The sequence below is a fragment of the Homo sapiens genome, chromosome 1, assembly GCF_000001405.40.
Source record: "Homo sapiens chromosome 1, GRCh38.p14 Primary Assembly".
In the NCBI taxonomy this organism is placed as follows: Eukaryota; Metazoa; Chordata; class Mammalia; order Primates; family Hominidae; genus Homo; species Homo sapiens.
Window position 1 is genome coordinate 146,783,692 of NC_000001.11, and position 21,993 is coordinate 146,805,684.

The 21,993-nt window shown below is 42.5% G+C and overlaps 1 pseudogene across 1 annotated transcript in view; it reads left to right on the forward strand.

Annotated features, from left to right (window-relative positions):
* Positions 1-21,993, forward strand: part of HYDIN2 (HYDIN axonemal central pair apparatus protein 2 (pseudogene)) — a 335,703-nt pseudogene that overhangs the window by 297,360 nt on the left and 16,350 nt on the right. Inside the window, exon 48 of the transcript NR_103556.2 lies at positions 10,392-11,003. The product of NR_103556.2 is annotated as an HYDIN axonemal central pair apparatus protein 2 (pseudogene) (transcript). The remainder of the gene's footprint in view (positions 1-10,391; positions 11,004-21,993) is intronic.

The window sequence follows — 21,993 nt, forward strand, 5'->3', positions numbered from 1 at the left end:
ATAAAATGAAATCTGCTGGTGATTCTGATTTTCTCTATATCAGCTTTTCAAATCTGAATATGCACGCAAATCACCTAGGGATCCTGTTAATATGCAGAGAGGTTCCGATTCCGTAGGTCTGGGCTGGGGCATGAGACTATATTTCTAACAAGTCCCAGGTCACATTCATGCTGCTGGCTCTTGGGTCACACTCTGAGTAGCAAGGCTCTAAGCAGTTGCCTAGCAGCCAACACTAACGTTAGCAAAAGCACAGTCTCAAGTGGATATATTGTCAGGAATCTTTAAACTGCAAGAAATAGAAGACTCAATTCAGGCCATCTGTGGTGGTGTGCACCTGTAGTCCCAGCCACTCAGGAGGCTGAAACAGGAGGATTGCATGAGCTCAGGAATTTGAATCCAGCCTGGACAACACAGCAAGACCCTGTATTAAAAAAAAAAAAAAAAAAAAAAAAAAAAAAAAAAAAAAAAACAGAAGAAAGAGAGACAGAAAACCCAATTCAAAAAACGTTAAAAAAAATGTATTTGCTCACATGTATGAAAATTCATGGCTTGTTCCTTCCTGAATTCTTATTTCAGATACTGTATTTTTCACTTCTAAAATTTCCACTTGGTTCTTTTTAAATTTTTCAATTTATCTGCTTGAATTTCCTTCTGCCTTACTGATCATAGTTATAATAGCTGCATATAGTTCTTGTCTGACAGTTCCTCCATCTGAGTCATCTCAGGGTTGGCATAGTTGACTGTCTTTTCCTTTGAGAATTTGTCACAGTTTCCTGACTCTTCATATGACAAGTAATTTTGTATCACATCCTGGAATTTTTTAATGTTATGTTGCAGACTCTGTATTGTATTATAATTCTCCAAAGAATGTTGATATTTTAGGTTTAACAGACAATTAAGCTTGGTTGGATCAAGTTTTGGTCTTTTGCATCTGCAGTGGTCAGTGACTAAGATGTCAGTTCCATTCTTTAGACCTTAATTACAAATTGCTTCCAGTTTGCCCCCCACACACATAGTTCAAGAGTCAGCCAGCCAGAGATTTAGGCTGCTTATACAGAAAATGCGGGGTTCCTCTTCTTTGGCTCTCTCTCCTTTCTGGGGTTTCCCCTTCACTCTCTGGAGGCTCTGAATGCTCCAGGACTTCTTTCTGTGGCTCCTCTAGAATGAAGATTGGTGGGTCTTTCTTTTTTTTTTCTTTTGAGACAGAGTCTCACTCAGTCGCCTAGGCTGGAGTGCAGTGGCGCAATCTTGGCTCACTGCAACCTCCGCCTCCCAGGTTCAAGCCATTCTCCTGCCTCAGCCTCCCAAGTAGCTGGGACTGCAGATGTGTGCCACCATGCCCGGCTAATTTTTGTATTTTTAGTAGAGACGGGGTTTCGCCATGTTGGCCAAGATGGTGTGGAACTCCTGACCTCAGGTGACCCTCCCACCTCGGCCTCTGAAAGTGCTGGGATTACAGGCATGAGCCACTGTGCCCAGCCCGGTTGGTGGTTTTTTCTATTGTGGTGTGGCCACCAGCCACTACACTGCCATGACTATCTTCAGTGTAAAGCCATGAAAAAGGAGGAAGAGGACTTACTTTATGCAACTCTCTTATTCCGAGTTTCAACAGCCCCTTTAAAAACTGCCTAATTTGTTTTTAGTCTCTAGAGCTCTCAGGGAGTTATGTTTCTATTTCATTCAGTCTGTAGCTGTTATGTATGGGACAATCAGTTTGCTGGTTGTTCATTTCCACGCATGAGAACCATAAACCCCCATGCAGAGTTCTTTGCCTGCATCTCTTGGCTCACCTGTGCTGGTTCCAGTCTCTGACTGATGCCCTCCACGTGAGAGCCCCCGAAAGTTCTGGCTTAGATTCGCCTAAATCCAAACCCAGCTGGAAAGGAGTGCTTCGTTAAACACCATTTTGGCCACAGTGCTGGCTTTCACTCTCACTGGAGAGTGCCATGTGCCTGCTCTGAACCAGTCCCCTTGGCCAGGGGGATGCCATTCTGTGACTGGTCAGTTCTGAATCTGCTTGCTCCTGGAGGAAGAGGTATTGCACAGAGCAAGAATCAAGGATGGGAAAATAAAGGGATGTTGGAAAAGAAAAAAACATCACAGAACCAGCTATAATGGGAGACAGGAAAGGAAGTGAGAAATACACCTGTCAGTCTGGAAACTCAAAGACTAATCTGTGAAGCTATGAATTTGTCATATACCCTCTGGGCCAAAGTTTCCTTATCTCATCCCTAGATGATCTCTAAGTTCCCTTCCTGCTCCAGTCTTCTCTGTCCTCTTGAAAAGCCTGTTATCTCTTAAAATTTTTGTTTCAGAAATCTAACCAAAAAAGTGCACTTCAACTAAATCTGATCCTCGTTGTTGTTGTTGTTGTTTTGTTTTGTTTCTTCAGATGGAGTTTCACTCTTGTCGCCCAGGCTGGGGTGCAATGGCACAATCTCTGCTCACTGCAACCTCTACCTCCCAGGTTCAAGCTATTCTCCTGCCTCAGCCTCCCGAGTAGCTGGGATTACAGGCATGCACCACCACGCCCAGCTAATTTTTGTATTTTTAGTAGAGACAAGGTTTCACCATGTTGATCAGCCTGGTCTCAAACTCCTGACCTCAGGTGATCCACCTGCCTTGGCCTCCCAAAGGGCTGGGATTACAGGCGTGAGCCACCGCGCCCAACAAAAATAATCCTGTTTTAAACAAATGGATGATGATTTCTCACTGAAGAAGAAGAAAGCCTTGCATCTGGCCATCGTCCTTGTTTCTACTTTGAACTTTCCTTTGCTTCCTTCTTCTTTCTCTTTTCTGTCAAAAATCTTCCTCTCTATCCTCCAGCTCAATCTTAAACCCAATTCCATCCCTCTCAATTTGCCTTCCTCCCTCAAATAAGCCCTTGCCAGCCATCATTTCTTACTCCAAATCTATAAAAGCAAATTTCTCCCAAATGTTATTCCTTAAAAAGAAAGTTTACCTTTATGTTTATATTTTGGATCAATGGTTTCTTTTGTATTGGCTGTTATTTACTAAAGTACAATTGAACAAAGCCTAGTGGAAATTTGATCCATGTAATCACTTGACTAAATAGTGTGTTAATAGACTAGAAAGAGTCTTATTTTCCTCAGCCATCACCTTCAAGTGTTTCTGTTGAAGATGCAAGAGTCTTAGAATAATTTAACCTCATTTAACCACATGGACCCATTGACCCTGTTTTTTGTTTTTTGTTTTTTTTTTAGGCTGGAGTGCTTGGCGTGATCACCACTCACTGCAGCCTTGATCTCCCCCAGGCTCAGGTGATCTTCCCACCTCAGCCTCCCGAGTAGCTGGGACTGCAGGCGTGCACCACCACGTCTGGCTAATTTTTTTGTAGAAATGTGGTTTTGCCATGTCGCCCAAGCTGTTCTCAAACTCCCGGGCTCAAGCAGTCCACCCGCCTCGGCCTCCCAAAGTGCTACCCTCTTCTAAATTATATGCTAATGTAGTTATGTATTTGAATTCTCACTATATATTTTTTAATGCACAAACATTATTGATTAAAACAATCAATTTGCATTTATTTTTACCTAAATGCCCATTTATCAATATTTATCAATATGCATTTCTCAGCACCCTCCTAAACACTCTTTAACTGCTTTCTACATCTCTTGTGTCTGTTTTCTTTTACCTAAAGAACATTCCTGGGTGTCTGTTTTTTTTTTTAGGTACAGGTTCTTTGGCAACAAATTACTCAAGTTTTGCTTGTCCGAAATGTCTTTACTTCACCTTGATGTTTCGAGGGTGTTTTTTTCTAGGCAGGCCTCTAGGTTGCCAGCCATTTTTCTTCAGCACTTTGATGATATTATTTTTCTATCTTTGTCTTCCATGTGGCTGTTGAGATGTCGGCTGTCAGCATGATTGTGCTCCTTCTGTGTTAGCCTTGATGCAGGGCAGGTGAGCCCCACAGTGGGGCTTAGCCCGGAGGGTTCTTGGCTTTGCCCAGGAAAGTATTCAAGGGCAAGCTGGAGGTAGAAGAAAACAGCTTTATTGAAGAGGCAGTGTGACCGTTCTGTGACTGCTCCTGCCCAGCACTTTGACTGCTCCTGCCCAGCAGGGCTACCCTGTAGGCAGAGAGTAGCAGCCCAGGACAGTTTACAGTAGTATTTATACGACTGTAGTTGCATGCAGATGAAGGGGCAGTATAGCAGAAATTTCTAGGGAAGAGGTCTTTTGGGTCATTGAGTCATTGCCCTGAAAGGGGTGGTAACTCCTGGGTGTTGCCATGGCAGTGATATATTGACATGGCACACTGGTGGGCATGTCTGATTGGAAAGCTGTTTCCACCCCCACCCTGTTTTAGCGAGTCCTCAATCTGGTCCAGTGTCTGAGCCCCGCCTCCTACCTCATTCTGACTCTAACTGCCTTTAAGATGTTTCTCTTTGTTTTTAAGGTCTCAACACCTTTAAGATGTCGAGTCTTCATTCAGTAATTTACTATGATTTGCCTAGGTGTGGTTTTCTTTGTATTTTATCCTACTTGGGGTTTATAGTGATTCTTGAATATGTGGGCTGGGAACCATTAGCCACTAACTCTTCCAGATTTCTTCTCCATTCTTTCTCTCCTCTCCATCTAGGATTCCAATCATAAATGTGCTAGGCCTTTTTGCAAACCTTTCACAGTAATATATGTCCGTTGTGCTTTTTCTATGTTCTACATACTTTTGTCCTCTCTTTATACTGAATATTTTCTTCTGACATACGGTCTAGTTCACTGTCTTTTTTTCAGTGAGGTCTAACCTGCTATTCAAACTTCCTTTCAGTTTTTCATTTTGTTATTGCATTAAAAAGCCATTAATTCTTTTCTTACTATTTCTAGTTCTCTTTAAAATTCTCACTTCTCAATAGTGTCTTAATTCCCTCAGCATATTAAATATGTTTTAAAGTCCTTGTCTTATAGTGCCATACGTAGATCCCCAGCAGTCTGGTCTCCCGTCTGTCTTTTGCTCTTGCTTTATGGTCACATGGTTTTGTCTCTTTAGATGCCAAGTATTTTTTTTTTATTATTATACTTTAAGTTTTAGGGTACATGTGTACAATGTGCAGGTTAGTTACATATGTATACCTGTGCCGTGCTGGTGTGCTGCACCCATTAACTCGTCATTTAGCATTAGGTATATCTCCTAATGCTATCCCTCCCCTCTCCCCCCACCCCACAACAGTCCCCAGAGTGTGAGGTTCCCCTTCCTGTGTCCATGTGTTCTCATTGTTCAATTCCCACCTATGAGTGAGAACATGCGGTGTTTGGTTTTTTGTCCTTGCAATAGTTTACTGAGAATGATGATTTCCAATTTCATCCATGTCCCTACAAAGGACATGAGCTCATCATTTTTTATGGCTGCATAGTATTCCATGGTGTATATGTGCCACATTTTCTTAATCCAGTCTATCATTGTTGGACATTTGGGTTGGTTCCAAGTCTTTGCTATTGTGAATAGTGCCGCAATAAACATACGTGTGCATGTGTCTTTATAGCAGTATGATTTATAGTCCTTTGGGTATATACCCAGTAATGGGATGGCTGGGTCAAATGGTATTTCTAGTTCTAGATCCCTGAGGAATCGCCACACTGACTTCCACAATGGTTGAACTAGTTTACAGTCCCACCAACAGTGTAAAAGTGTTCCTATTTCTCCACATCCTCTCCAGCACCTGTTGTTTCCTGACTTTTTAATGATTGCCATTCTAACTGGTGTGAGATGATATCTCACTGTGGTTTTGATTTGCATTTCTCTGATGGCCAGTGATGATGAGCATTTTTTCATGTGTTTTTTGACTGCATAAATGTCTTCTTTTGAGAAGTGTCTGTTCATGTCCTTCGCCCACTTTTTATGGGGTTGTTTGTTTTTTTCTTGTAAATTTGTTTGAGTTCATTGTAGATTCTGGATATTAGCCCTTTGTCAGATGAGTAGGTTGCGAAAATTTTCTCCCATTTTGTGGGTTGCCTGTTCACTCTGATGGTAGTTTCTTTTGCTGTGCAGAAGCTCTTTAGTTTAATTAGATCCCATTTGTCAATTTTGGCTTTTGTTGCCATTGCTTTTGGTGTTTTAGACATGAAGCCCTTGCCCATGCCTATGTCCTGAATGGTAATGCCTAGGTTTTCTCCTAGGGTTTTTATGGTTTTGGGTCTAATGTTTAAGTCTTTAATCCATCTTGAATTGATTTTTGTATAAGGTGTAAGGAAGGGATCCAGTTGACAAACCTGAGAAAAACAAGCAATGGGGAAAGGATTCCCTATTTAATAAATGGTGCTGGGAAAACTGGCTAACCATATGTAGAAAGATGCCAAGTGTTTTTTTTAAAGATAGGGGTCTTGCTTGCCCAGGCTGGTCTAGGACTGCTGGCCTCAAGCAATCCTCCCATCTCAGCCTCCCAAACTGCTGAGATTACAGGCATGAGCCACCATGCCCACCCCAGGTTTTTATCAAGGGCCAGATATTGAACAGAAAAAACGTTTTGAGGCTCTGGAAGATGTTGTCTCCCTCCAGAGAGAATCACTGTTTGATGCTGGCAGTCAGCTAGGCTAGGAGCACTAGAAACCTTGACTCAATCAGGACTGAGATCATTTTAAACTGAGCTTCAGTCCCTGGGAGGGCGGGGCTATTTCAGGTGGACCTTTTTTTTCTTTTTCTTTTTCTTTTTTCCACTGTTATTTTAAGTACGGGGGTACACGTGCAGGATGTGCAGGTTTGTTACATAGGTAAACGTGTGCCGCCATGGTTTGCTGCACAGATCATCCCATCACCTAGATGTTAGGCCCAGCGTTTATTAACTATTCTTCCTGATGCTCTCCCTCGTCCTGCCCCCCAACCCCTGACAGACCACAGTGTGTATTGTCCCCTGACCCATGTGTCCATGTGTCCTCATCATTCAGCTCCCACTTATAAGGCAGAACACGTAATATTTGGTTTTCTGTTCCTGCATTAGTTTGCTGAGGATAATAGCCTTCCAGCTTCATCCATGTCCCTGCAAAGGACAGGTTGACCCTTATTCCTAATATGGAGCCTTTCGGAGACCTAACCCAAAGGCCAGGGGATTTACCAGGACCTCTTTTCCTTGGCAGGCCTGGAGTCTTAATTTTTGAACCCCAGCCCCATGAGTCTGTCAGAAGTTTTGCTCAGCTTCTCAACCACACTGTCAGCTACAAATACCCTCGAGGGAAGAGCAGCCCCAAATGCTGGGCCCACTTCTCTGTATTTGTCTCCTCTCCCAGATCTTAGCCTGCAACTCATGACTGCCTTTGTGGCTCTCCAGTGCTTTCAGACACATAGGTTTTCAAAACGTTTTGTAAAGATTTTCTACTTGTGGGTGTGGAATTTTATCAAGTGATTTTTCTGCATCCATTGACATGATTGTATTTCTTTTTCTTCTTTGGTAGGACCACACAGTGGGTTACATATTACATTATTGAATCAGTTTGTTTGGGGCTTAAATGTTTATTCAGCTTTTACCTTTTGCTTTCCGAGTTAATTTGGTCATTCATGATTTTCTGAAAAAGTATTAATTTTTTATCAGATTTTCACATTTATTGGCATGAGGAAATTAATGGTTTTGTCTTACTATCTTTTTAACCTCTTCCATTATTTCTGTTATACTTGTATTATTTCTATTATGTCCTCTCGGACATTTCACACGTTGTTTATTTGTACCTTTCTCTTTGTTTTTCCTCAATCAACCTTACTAGAAGTTTGTCATTTTTATTATCTTTCCAAAGAAACAACTTTTGCCTTTGTGGATTATCTTCATTTTATGTTTTCTGTTTCATTAGTTTCTGTTCTTTTTTTTTTTTTTTTTGAGACAGAGTCTTGCTCTGTCGCCCAGGCCGGAGTGCAGTGGCATGATCTCGGCTCACTGCAAGCTCTGCCTCCCTGGTTCATGCCATTCTCCTGCTTCAGCCTCCCGAGTAGCTGGGACTACAGGCACCTGCCACCACACCCAGCTAATTTTTTTTTTTTTTTTTGTATTTTTTAGTAGAGACGGGGTTTCACCGTGTTAGCCAGGATGGTCTAGATCTCCTGACCTCGTGATCCGCCCACCTCGGCCTCCCAAAGTGCTGGGATTACAGGCTTGAGCCACCACACCTGGCCTGTTCTTATTTTTTAATAATATCCTTCTTTCTTTTTTTTTTTTTTTTTTTGGAGATGGAGTTTCACTCTTGTTGCCGAGGCTGGAGTGCAGTGGTGCAATCTCAGCTTACTGCAACCTCCACCTCCCGGGTTCAAGCAATTCTCCTGCCTCACCCTCCCAAGTAGCTGAGATTACAGGTGCCCACCACCATGCCTGGCTAATTTTTGTGTTTTTAGTAGAAATGGGCTTTCGTCATGTTGGCCAGGCTGGTCTAGAACTCCTGACCTCAGGTGATCTGCCCACCTCGGCCTCCCAAAGTGCTGGGATTACAGTTGTAAGCCACCGTGCCTGGCCCCTTCTTTCTACTTTATTTGTGTTATTATTCCGTTCTTTTTCTAACTTCTTGAAGTGATGCTTATCTTATTAATTTTCAATCGTTTTTCTTTTGCAATTTATGAAAAGTTATAAAAGGGGCCAGGCATAGTGGCTTATGCCTGTAATCCCAACACTTTGGGAGGTTGAGACAGGCAGATCAATTGAACTCAGGGGTTCAAGACCAGCCTGGGCAACATGGCAAAACTGTGTCTCTACAAAAAAATTAAAAATTAGCCAGGCATGGTGGCACATGCCTGTAGTCCCAAGCTACTTGGGAGGCTGAGGTGGGAGAATTACCGAGCCCAGAAAATTGAGGCCACAGTAAGCTGTGATCATACCACTACACTCCAGCTTGTCTAAAAAAAAAAAAAAATAGGTTATAAAAGCATTTAAAGACATATAAACTTCCAAACTGTTTTAGATATAGTCCTCATTTGTTGATATTCAGTGTTTTCATTGTTCAATTCTAAATATTTTCTACTCTCCTTTATGGCTGCTTCTTTAATCCATGAATTATTTCCAAGTATATTTTCTAATTTCCAAATGAACAGCTTCATTTTGCCTTCTCTTTTTAGTCCTGATTTTGATAACTATCCGCAGAGTACATGCTCTATGTCATATTGATCTTTTGCATCTGTGGAGCCTTGCTGTGTGGCCTCATCGGTGACTGGTTTCTGTTAATGTTCCACGTGTGTTTGAATAGTGTGTGTATTTTCTTTCTGCATCTATTTGCCCAAGTCCATTAATCATATTGTTAAAATTGTCCATATTCTTCATAGTTTACTGTTAGCCTCCAGCTGCTCTACGCTGGGCTCCCACAGTCTTGCAAGTACAAGTCCTTCCCTCACTGGGCCCCATCTTCCATGCAAACCCAGGTGTCTTGGCAGAGCATGAAGGAATAGGAGCCAAGTCCCTGCCTCCCCCACATGAGGCACCGTGCCAGCCTGCAGTGTTGCTGCCTCCCCAGGCTGTGTTGGAGATGGAGAAGCAAAGAAGGAGGAAGGGCAGCAAGATGAGGGGAAAAGCCAGCCCCTGGTCGTTCATGTCTCCAAGCCTGATGCTGGCCTGAACTTAGAGAGGAGGAGAGCTAGACCTGGGAAAGGAGACACTGGCTGCACTGCAGATAGCAGTCACTAGACTGGAATGGACTTTGCATAATATCATCAAAGAATGACCCAAAAAACGATGGAGCCTACCCGAGGATTTTATCCAGGGGAGGAGAAAATCAGAGTCCACAAAACAAGTTTAAAAGTGCAGTAAGAAAAAGAATAAAATTGGTTTCTCTATGCTCAGAGCATTAAATAAATACATATTTTAAAAGCCTGAGGTGCAGCCAAATTCTAAACCCCCATTTGTTCCCAACAATATCCATTGTATACAATACATGTGTGGTTTTAATAACTGAAAAGGCACTGTTGTAAGCTTTTTACATGCATTCACACATTTAATCTTCAGGAGTCCTCTGGAGTAGGTATTAATGTTGCTATCTCCGTTATACAGATGAGGCAGAGAGAGGCTGAGTCCTCTCCCAGGGTCACAGCTACCAAGCAGTGCAGCTGGGATTGGACCACTACACGCTGTGGCCTATACCAGGGCACCTGAGGCAGGTGCATATGGCTTGCATCTGCTAGTCTTTTCCCCTTGATCCTGCAGAACAGCAGCTCTCAACCAGGAGTACACATCAAAGTCACTCTGCACCTTTTCCAAAATGCACAATCCAGCCAGATCTCAAACAGAGAGGGACCATGGAATAGATATTTAGATTAAAACCCCCAAGATGATTCCCAGGCACAACCTTAGCGTGCAGGGGAGGTGCCCAGATCCTCGGAGACCTTCTCATGAGACAAAATGTCCTTTCGCTCCTCCTTATGCAATTTACTACCCCGTAAAAAACTGTTTGACGCATCTTTTCTGTGTCATGCCTTCTAGGTTCCTCCGCTCACCAAAGTGGATGTCAAGATGGAGACAATCGAAAGGAAAATATCTGTTAGGGAACAAACAATGTCTGAGAAGGAAGAGCTAAATAAGAAGAAAAGGAACATGGGCGATGTCAGCATGCATGGGCTTCCTCTTGTCCAGGACCAAGAGGACAGTGAAGGGGACATCTCAAAGGACCCCGACAAGCAACTGGCCCAGAAGTTTAAGACCTATGAATTGACACTGAAGGATGTCCAGAACATCCTCATGTACTGGGACCGGAAGCAAGGAGTCCAGCTGCCTCCTGCAGGGATGGAGGAAGCTCCCCATGAGCCCGACGACCAGCGCCAGGTCCCCTCGGGTGGGCGCAGGGGCCGCAAGGACCGGGAGAGAGAGCGCCTGGAGAAGGAGCGCCTGGAGAGGGAGAAGGCGGAGCGGGAGCGCCTGGAGAAGCTGCGAGCCCTGGAGGAGCGGAGCGACTGGGAGGGGGAAGGGGAGGAGGACCACGAAGAGAAGAAGGAGAAGGACCTGGGCGTACCCTTCCTTAACATCCAGACACCAGACTTTGAAGGCTTGAGCTGGAAGCAGGCCCTAGAGAGCGACAGGCTTCCCAAAGGAGAGCAGGTATGGACTCTCCTCCAGGGTGGGGAAGTCTCAAGTCAGGCGGCAGGCGCTGTGCTAAGATCATCAGGGGTGCTTCTCCCTACCTGAAACCCATATCCCCTCAACTGCATGCATCTCTGATGCCCCCTTGGAATTAAGACAATAATGACTAAAGGACCTTTTCTACTTGGCAAGAGAAAATTCATAGGAAATGTCACACATCTAGATTAGTCCATCCAACCTTATGGGAAGCCACCTGTAATGGTTGGTTTTTAATATTGATAATATGGGTGCTACAGAATGGCAAGGCAGGTGAGGCTTTGGGGTGAAGCAGGAGACCCATCCACTCCAAAATCTTCCCACAGACCTCCCACAGTGACAGAAATTATCCTATAAGACAGCTCTTCTTTCCTATAAACAAAAGTATTGTGTATCCAAAAGCCACCTTTGCTAGCAGTTTGGAGGAGAGGCTTATTATAGCCTTTTCTCCAGGGACAGGTTTTTTCTGTAAAGGACCAGAAAGTAAGCATTTTAGGCTGCGGGTGATACCACTTCTATCAAAACTACTCCACTTGGCCTTCAGAGGGTAAAAGTGACCACCAGCAACATGTAAATGAATGGGCATGGCCGTGTTCCAATTCAAGTTTATTTAGAAAAAGTAGCAGGCCAGATTCAGCCAGGGCACCACAGTTTGCTGCCCTCTGGTTTCGTTCATGACAAACTAGATGCAACTTTTTTTCTTTTTTTCTTTTTTTTTTTTTTGAGATGGAGTCTCACTCTGTTGCCCAGGCTGGAGTGCAGTGGCACAATATCAGCTCACTGCAACCTCTGCCTCTGGTGTTCAAGCGATTCTCCTGCCTCAGCCTCCTAAGTAGCTGGGACTATAGGCATGCACCAGCACGACCAGCTAATTTTTTTGGATCTTTAGTAGAGACAGGGTTTCACCATGTTGGTCAGGCTGGTCTTAAACTCCTGACCTTAAATGATCAGCCTCAGCCTCCCAAAGTGCTGGGATTACAGGCATGAGTCAACTTTTAAAAGTAGAGACTAGAGCCTGGGAGGGATATGTGGCAGGTCAGGGATGATGGGAGGATCAGAGTCATCCCTGCAATCCATGTGACTTCCATGTGCCGCGGCCCACAGTAGAAGCCTTGCCACAGTGGTCCCGGGTGGCACCACAGGCGGGAAGGACTGCTGGGGGACACACAACATCAGCTCTACGCCCTTCCCAGTTTCACCTCAGGCCAGCCTTAGCTAAGGAATTGTGATTTTTTCCCTGGAAATGTTTTTTTTTTTTTAAAAAAAGGACTATAACAAGAACATCTTCTTGCCTTGTTTTGTACTCTCCACCTTCCAAATCATAGGTTAGACTGCTGCTTGAAGAACTCCCTGGCTCTGGTAATTCAACAATTGCTACAAATCATTCTTGCCTTTCCTCATAGACATTCTAAATCCTGGGAGTTAACTCAGCTGCGTATTTGTCAGGAAATGCCTTTAGCTCCTTGACACACAGGATGAGAAGCACAGGATTACATGAAGATATTTAGTTACTTGCTGGGCCTCACAGGCCCAGTGGTCCACAGGCTGGGCCCTCAGGTGGGCTGTAACCTTTACTGTTGTGATAATGGCTATTAGTCTAGAGGCAACATGCTTATTCTGAGGCAGGAAGTAGCTGTTAAATTTTCAAACCATTTGCTCTGGAAATTGCTCATTCATTATATATGAGAGCAGGATGGGAAAATGCTGGAGGAATAAATGTTTTCTCTCTCAGGTTATTTTTCACTTCTCTCTTCATTCCCATTCTCATCCCCAGTCCCAGAACCTTTGCTTTATTATTTTCTTTGCTGCATTTGACTTGCTCCTATCCCAACTTTCTTTCACCTTGGAAGGAAGGAACATTTAACGCAAAAAGAAAAATTAACATGGAATCTGAAAATAGATGGAAAAACTCTGTACTCTAGATATTAGAACGTTAAGAGCTGGCCTCTTCATATTAAACAGAGATTTATTGATTGCCTGCTATGTGCTAGGCTGTGTGCCATATCCACCTGCTAACCATCCTAATGGAGTTTACAGCCCAGTTGCAAAGGCAGACAATTAAACAATTGCCATAAAGTGTAACAAAGGCTATGGTAAGAGAGGCATAGGGTTTTGCACAGGAAATTCACAATGGGCCTTTCCTTTAGATCCTAGACATCTTGGGTCTGGGTGCCTCCGGACCACCCATCCCGCCTCCCGCCTTATTCTCAATCGTCTCCTACCCGGTGAAGCGGCCACCTTTGACCATGACAGACGACCTGGAGCATTTTGTATTTGTGATCCCACCATCCGAAGATATATCTCTGGATGAAAAAAAAGAAATGGAAATAGAATCAGACTTTTTGGCCACCACAAACACTACAAAGGTAACACATGAGCAGTTTATTCTCCTAACCTTGGCAGGACTTCAGCAGGCAGGGAGAGAAGGTCACCCTCCACCAGACCAAAAATGGAGCCTGGCATGAGGTGTTCTGCTCACTGGGTTATTTTCCCTTGACTCGTTGGGGATCCTACCTGAAAACCTCATGTGAGCATCCCTGGACTGCACCTTCCCTGGCTCTGACTTGTCCTACCTCCTAAGAGGAAACGGATAATGATTGATTCTCACCTAACAACCTTTGCAGTCCCCATTGGAGGGTTTAGGGAACTTGTCAAGTTACTCTGCAGCACATCCACAGTAAGAAAATAAGCAAAACTAGCACTCTTAAAAAGATATCTAATCTTTTTTAAAACATAAAAATGTGTTTTGAAGCTAAGGTGATTCGCATAGTGTGTAAGAATATAAGAATCAACACACACAAGTTAAGGGGACATGCGCCACTGCAGAAAGGATAAATTATTAAAGAAATTAGGATGGGAAGATTGGATGTTTGGGGTAAAGTCACTGTTTGTGACACAATACAGTAAAATACATTCCAGCTGGGTTAAAATATAAATAATCAAAATAAAATTGTGCAGAAATAGAAGAAAATATATGCAATTAATAGAATAAATCACAAGAAAAATAAATTTGACCAATAATATGCAGCAAGTGTGTATATTTAAAATTATAGAAGGTTTTTTTATTCCCAGAGGAGAAGGGTGGTCCACAATTTGAATCTCTGCACACAGCCTTCTATAAACCATGCACATCAGCAAAGAGAGCTCGTAACTTCACCTATAAGTCCTGCTTACATGTAAATTGGGGATAGAGACTACTCCAAACCTCAGTTTACAAGGAAGAAGGAAATCAACATCTGAGATCAGTAGCGTCGGTGGGCATGCCTCACCCAAGCAGAGAGTCCCTGGTGACATTTCAAATTGAAAAGATAAAGAAGAAAAACTTGCCATCAACCCCTTATTGTGAAAATCAGCCGGCTGGGCACTGTGGCTCACGCCTGTAATCCCCACACTTTGGGAGGTTGAGGTGGGCAGATTGCTTGAGCCCAGATGTTTGAGACCACCCTGGGAATATGGTGAAACCCCATCTCTACAAAAAATACAAAAATTAGCCGGGCATGGTGGCATGCACCTGTAGTCCCAGCTACTCAGGAGGCTGAGGTGGGAGGATCGCTTGAGCCCTGGAGTCAGAGTTATAGTGAGTTGAGATGGCACCACTGCACTCCAGCCTGGGCAATAGAGTGAGATCCTGTCTCAAAAGAAAAAGAAAAGAAAGACGGAAGGAATAGAAGAGAGAGAGGGGAAAGAAAGAAAGAAAAACAGAGGAAGGAAGCAAGGAAGGAAGGAAGGAAAAAGAGAGAAAGAGAAAAAGAAAAGAAAAAGAAATGGCACGTAAGAATGCTCAGAAGAATTCAGACTATGGAGTATTTTGTAAGAACACAAATCTGGTCTCTCTAAAAAGGCAGTGTGATTGGGAGAGGGGGCAGGAGGGTCTAGATTGAAAGATACTAAAGAAACATAAGAGATCATGGCAGACAGGAGGCAGGACTGGATGCAACTCCAACTCGGGTGGACAGAGCAGCAAGTCTCGCATTGTGAATTTTAGCTCCAGAACAACTGCAGGAATAAATCAAGAAACCTGAAGGGAACCACAGACCCTCTGAAGCAAGCAGCAGACTGCTCCTGCAGGACCCAGGAGACACCCCAAATACTGTGAGTGCCCAAACTGCAGAAGTGGGAAAGGAAGATCCTCCGCCCCTGGATACACACCCCAACTGGGGAAACTGAAGGTCTAGTTTAAAGGAGAAGATTCCAACCTTACCTGGAGCTGAGTCAATTTAGAGAGTTGAGCAAAATACAGGGTTAGAGGAAGCAGCAGGAAAGGCCCTGGGAGCTCCCTAGGTCCCCAAGCAGGCCATTCCTGTCTGGCATCACAGGGATCTTTCAGGAGGACAGCCAGAGGCCCAGGGAAAATGCCACAGGGAGAAGGAAGTCTCCAGCTGAACTTTGTAACAATTTGAACTGGACGAGAAGCCTCCTGGCCAGGACTCTGGGAAGGGCACAAATCCAGCATGCAGACTCCACAGGCAGGGGAAGAACTAAAGCCATACTTGCTTTCACAGCTGGGTGGTGGGTAGCCTGGGGCAAGTTCTCAGCCCTGCTTGCCCACTGCCTGGAAACAGACTCAATGCTGTTGGTGGGGGCATGGTGGGAGTAAGACCAGCCCTTTGGATTGCATGGGAGCTGCGTGAGGCCTGTAACTGCTGGCTTTTGCCCACTTCCCTGACAACCTGCACGACTCAGCAGAGGGAGGCATAATCCTCCTAGGTACATAACTCCATTGACCTAGGAACCTCACCCCCATCCTCCACAGCAGCCACAGCAAGACCAGCCCAAAGAGAGTCTGAGCTCAGACATGCCTAGCCCTGTCCCCAACTGATGGTCCTTCCCTACCCACCCTGGTACCTGAACACAAAGGGCATATATTCTTGGGAGTTCTAGGGCACTACCCACCACTGGTTCCTTCCTCTCCATATTACCACAGCTGATGGTCTCTGGAAAGTGCCCCCTCCCATCAGGAAGCCAACCAGCACAGAAATAGAGCATTAAACCACCAAAGCTAAGAATCCTCACAGAGTTCATTTCACCCCCCTGCCACCTCCGCCAGAAGAGGTGCTGGTGTCCATGACTGAGAGACCCATAGATGTTTCACATCACAGGACTCTGTGCAGACAACCCCCGTACAAGCCCAGAGCCTGGTAGACTTGCTGGGTGGCTAGACCCAGAAGAGAGATAACCATCAGCACAGCTCGGCTCTCAGGAAGCCACATCCATAGGAAAAGGGGGAGCATACTACATCAAGGGAACACCCTGTGGGACAAAAGAATCTGAACAACAGCCTTCAGCCATAGACTTTCCCTCTGACAGAGCCTACCCAAATAAGAAGGAACCAGAAAACCAACTCTGATAATATGACAAAACAAGACCCTTTAGTAGCCCCCCAAAATCACAGTAGCTCACTAGCAATGGATTCAAACCAAGAAGAAATCCCTGATTTACCTGAAAAAGAATTCAGGAGGTTAGTTATTAAGCCAATCAGAGAGTAACCAGAGAAAGGTGAAGCCCAGTTCCAGAAAATCCAAAAAATGATAGAAGAAGTGAAGGGAGAAATATTCAATGAAATACACAGCATAAATAAAAAACAATCAAAACTTCAGGAAATATTGAACACACTTAGAGAAATGCAAAATGCTCTGGAAAGTCTCAACAATAGAATTGAACAAGTAGAAGAAAGAAATTCAGAGCTCAAAGACAAGATCTTCTAATTAACCCAATCCAACAAAGACAAAGAAGAAAGAATAAGAAAATATGAACAAAGCCTCCAAGAAGTCTGGGATTATGTTAAATGACCAAACCTAAGAATAATCAGTGTTCCTGAGGAAGAAGAGAAATCTAAAAGTTTGGAAAACATATCTGGGGGAATAATCGAGGAAAACTTCCCCAGCCTTGCTAGAGACCTAGACATCCAAATACAAGAAGCACAAAGAACACCTGGAAAATTCATCACAGAAAGATCATCACCTAGGCACATTGTCATCAGCTTATTTAAAGTTAAGACGAAGGAAAGAATCTTAAGAGCTGTGAGACAAAAACAACATAATCAACAAAGGAAAACCTATCAGATTAACAGCAGATTTCTCAGCAGAAACCCTACAAGATAGAAGGGATTGGGGCCCTATCTTCAGACTCCTCAAACAAAAGAAGTATCAGCCAAGAATTTTGTATCCAGCAAAACTAAGCATCGTATATGAAGGAAAGATACAGTCTTTTTTGGACAAACAAATGCTGAGAGAATTTGCCACTACCAAGCCAGTATTATAAGAACTGCTAAAAGGAGCTCTAAATCTTGAAACAAATCCTGGAAACACATCAAAACAGAGCTTCTTTAAAGCATAAACCTCACAGGACCTATAAAACAAAAATACAATTAAAAAAAAACAAAAAAGCAAAAAACCAAGGTACACAGGCAACAAATAGCACAATTAATGGAATGGTACCTCACATCTCAATACTAACATTGAATGTAAATGCCTGAATGCTTTACTTAAAAGATACAGAACTGCAGAATGGATAAGAATTCACCAACCAACTATCTGCTGCCTTCAAGAGACTCACCTAACATATAAGGACTCACATAAAGTAAAAGGGTGGAAAAAGGCTTTCATGCAAATGGACACCAAAAGAGAGCAGGGACAGCTATTCTTATATCAGACAAAATGAGCTTTAAAGCAACAGCAGTTTAAAAAGACAAAGAGGGACATTATATAATGGTAAAAGCCCTGTCCAACCAGAAAATACCACAGTCCTAAACACAGATGCACCTAACACTGGAGCTCCCAAATTTGTAAAACAATTACTAATAGACCTAAGAAATGAGATAGACAGCAACACAATAATAGTGGGGGACTTCAGTACTCCACTGACAGCACAAGACAGGCCATCAAGACAGAAAGTCAACAAAGAAACATGAATTTAAACTATAACTTGGAACAAATGGACTTAACAGATACATACAGAACATTCCATCCAACAGCCACAGAATACACATGCTACTCAACAGTTCATGGAACTTTCTCCAAGATAGACCATATGATAGGCCGCAAAATGAGCCTCAATAAATTTAAGAAAATTGAAATTATATCAAGCACTCTCTCAGACCACAGTGGAATAAAACTGGAAATCAACTCCAGAAGGAACCTTCAAAGCCATGCAAATACATGAAAATTAAATAACCTGCTCCCGAATGATCAGTGGGTCAAAAACAAAATCAAGATGGAAATTTAAAACTTCATGGAACTGAATGACACAAGCTATCAAAATCTCTGGGATACAGCAAAGGTGATGCTAAGCAGAAAGCTCATAGCCCCAAATGCCCGCATCAAAAAGACTGAAAGAGCACTAACTGCCAATCTAAGGTCACACCTCAAGGAACTAGAGAAACAAGAACAAATCAAACCCAAACCCAGCAGAAGAAAGGAAATAACCAAGGTCAGAGCAGAACTAAATGAAATTGAAACAAAAAAAAAAGCAATACGAAAGATAAATGAAACAAAAAGCTGGTTCTTTGAAAAGATAAATAAAATTGATAGACCGTTAGCAAGATTAACCAAGAAAAGAAGAGAGAAAAATCCAAATAACCTCAATAAGAAACAAACAGGAGATATTACAACTGACACCACAGAAATACAAAAGATCATTCAAGGCTACTATGAACACCTTTACACTCACAAACTAGGAAACCTGGAAGAGATGGATAAACTCCTGGAAAAATACAACCCTCCTAGCTTAAATCAGGAAGAACTAGATACCCTGAACTGACCAGTAACAAGCAGTGAGATTGAAATGGTAATTTAAAAATTACCACCAAAAAAAAGTCCAGGACCAGATGGATTCACAGCAGAATTCTACCAGACATTCAAAGAAGAATGGATACCCATCCTATTGACACTATTCCACAAGATAGAGAAAGAGGGAACCCTCCCTAATTCATTCTACGAAGCCAGCATCACCCTAATTCCAAAACCAGGAAGGGACACAACCAAAAAAAGAAAACTGCAGGCCGATATGCCTGATGAACATAGATGCTAAAATCCTTAACATTTAGCTAACCAAAATCCTTAACATTTAGCTAATCAAATCCAACAGCATATCAAAAAGTTAATCCACAATGATCAAGTGGGTTTCATACCAGGGATTCAGGGATGGTTTAACATATGCAAGTCAATAAATGTGATATACCACATTAACAGAATTAAAAACAAAAATCACATGATCATTTCAATAGATGCAGAAAAAGCCTTTGACAAAATCCAACATCCCTTTATGATTAAAACTCTCAGCAAAATCAGCATACAAGGAACACACCTCAATGTAAAAAAAGCCATCTGTGACAAACCCAAAGCCAACATAATACTGAATGAGGAAAAGTTGAAAGTGTTCCCTCCAAGGACTGGAACAAGACAAGGATGCCCACTCTCATCACTCCTCTTCAACATTGTACTGGAAATCCTCGCCATAACAATCAGACAAGAGAGAGCAATAAAGGGTATCCAAATCAGCAAAGAGGAAGTCAGACTCTCACTGTTTGCTGATGACATGGTCATTTACTTTGAAAACCCTGAAGACTCCCTAGAAAGATCCTAGAACTGACAAAAGAATTCAGCAGTTTCTGGATACAAAATTAATGTACACAAATCAGTAGCTCTTCTATACACCAACAATGACCAAGCAGAGAATCAAATCAATAACTCAACCTCTTTTACAATAGCTGCAAAAAAACAAATAAAATACTTAGGAATATACCTAACCAAGGAGGTGAAAGACCTCTGCAAGGAAAACTACAAAACACTGCTGAAAGAAATCATAGATGACACAAACAAATGGAAACATCTCATGCTCATGGATGGGTAGAATCAATATTGTGAAAATGACCTTACTGCCAAAAGCAATCTACAAATTCAACGCAATTTCCATCAAAATACCACCATCATTCTTCACAGAATTAGGAAAAAATTATAAAATTCATATGGAACCAAAAAAGAGCCCACATAGCCAAAGCAAGACTAAGCAAAAAGAACAAATCTGGAGGCATCACACTACCTGATTTCAAACTATACTATAAGGCCATAGTCACCAAAACAGCATGTTACTGATATAAAAATAGGCATATAGACCAATGGAACAGAATAGAGAACCCAGAAAGAAACCCAAATACTTACAGCCAACTGGTCTTCGACAAAGCAAACAAAAACATAAAGTGGGGAAAGGACATCCTTTTCAACAAATGGTGCTGGGATAATTGGCTAGCCACATGTAGGAGAATGAAACTGGATCCTCATCTCTCACCTTATACAAAAATCAACTCAAGATGGATTAAGGACTTAAATCTAAGACCTGAAACTATAAAAATTCTAGAAGATAACATTGGAAAAACCCTTCTAGACATTGGCTTAGGCAAGGATTTTATCACCAAGAACCCAAAAGCAAATGCAATTAAAACAAAGATAATTAGCTGGAACTTAATTAAACTAAAGAGCTTTTGCATGGCAAAGGTAGCAGTCAGCAGAGTAAACAGACAACCTACAGAGTGGGAGAAAATCTTCACAATCTGTACATCTGACAAAGGACTAATATCCAGAATCTACAATGAACTGAAACAAATCAGCAAGAAAAAAACAAATAATCCCATCAAAAAGTGGGCTAAAGACATGAATAGACAATTCACAAAAGAAGATATACAAATGGCCAACAAGCATATGAAAAAATGCTCAACATCACTAATGATCAGGGAAATGCAAATCAAAACCACAATGTGATACCACCTTACTCCTGCAAGAATGACCATAATCAAAAAATAAAAAATAAATAAATAAATAAAAACAGTAGCTGTTGGCATGGATGCGGTGCATCAAGAAACACCCTTCTACACTGCTGATGGGAATGTAAACTAGTACAACCACTATGGAAAACAATGTGGACATTCCTTAAAGAACTAAAAGTAGAACTGCAATTTGATCCAGCAGATCTGGATCTAGATACTGCATATCTACCCAGAGGAAAAGAAGTCATTATACGAAAAAGATACTTGCACACACATGTTTATAGCAGCACAATTCACAATTGCAAAATGGTGGTACCATCCCAAATGCCCATCAGTCAACAAGTGGATAAAGAAACTGTGGTATATGTATACACAAAGGAATACTACTCAGCCATAAGAAGGAATGAATTAACGGCATTCACAGCTACCTGAATGATATCGGAGACTATTATTCTAAGTGAAGTAACTCAGGAATGGGAAACATCGTATGTTCTCACTGATATGTGGTAGCCAAGCTATGGGGACACAAAGGCATAAGAATGATACAATGGACTTTGGGACTTGGGGGGAAGGGTGGGAGAGGGCAAGAGATAAAAGACTACAAATAGGGTGCAGTGTATACTGCTCGGGTGATGGGTGCACCAAAATCTCACAAATCGCCACCAGAAAACTTACTCATGTAACCAAATACCACCTGTACCCCAATAACCTATAAAAAATAGAAAAATAATAAAAAATTAAAAAAGAAACATAACAAAACACAATATAGGAACTTTGATTAATACTTATTTGGGAAACAATGTCTATAAATAAAGACATGCCTGAGGCCAGGCGCGGTGGCTCACGCCTGTAATCCCAGCACTTTGGGAGGCTGAGGCAGGTGGATCGCGAGGTCAGATCGAGACCATCCTGGCTAACATGGTGAAACCCCGTCTCTACTAAAAATACACAAAATTAGTCAGGCGTGGTGGCAGGCGCCTGTAGTCCCAGCTACTTCGGAGGCTGAGGCAGGAAAATGGCGTGAACCCAGGAGGCGGAGCTTGCAGTGAGCTGAGATGGCACCACTGCACTGCAGCCTGGGCGACAAAGCGAGACGCTATCTCAAAAAAAAAAAAAAAAAAAAAAAAAAAAGACATGCCTGAGACAAATAGGAAAATTTTAATATAGACTGTGTGCCAGAACGATAGTGTGGAATTATTGTTCATTTTCTTA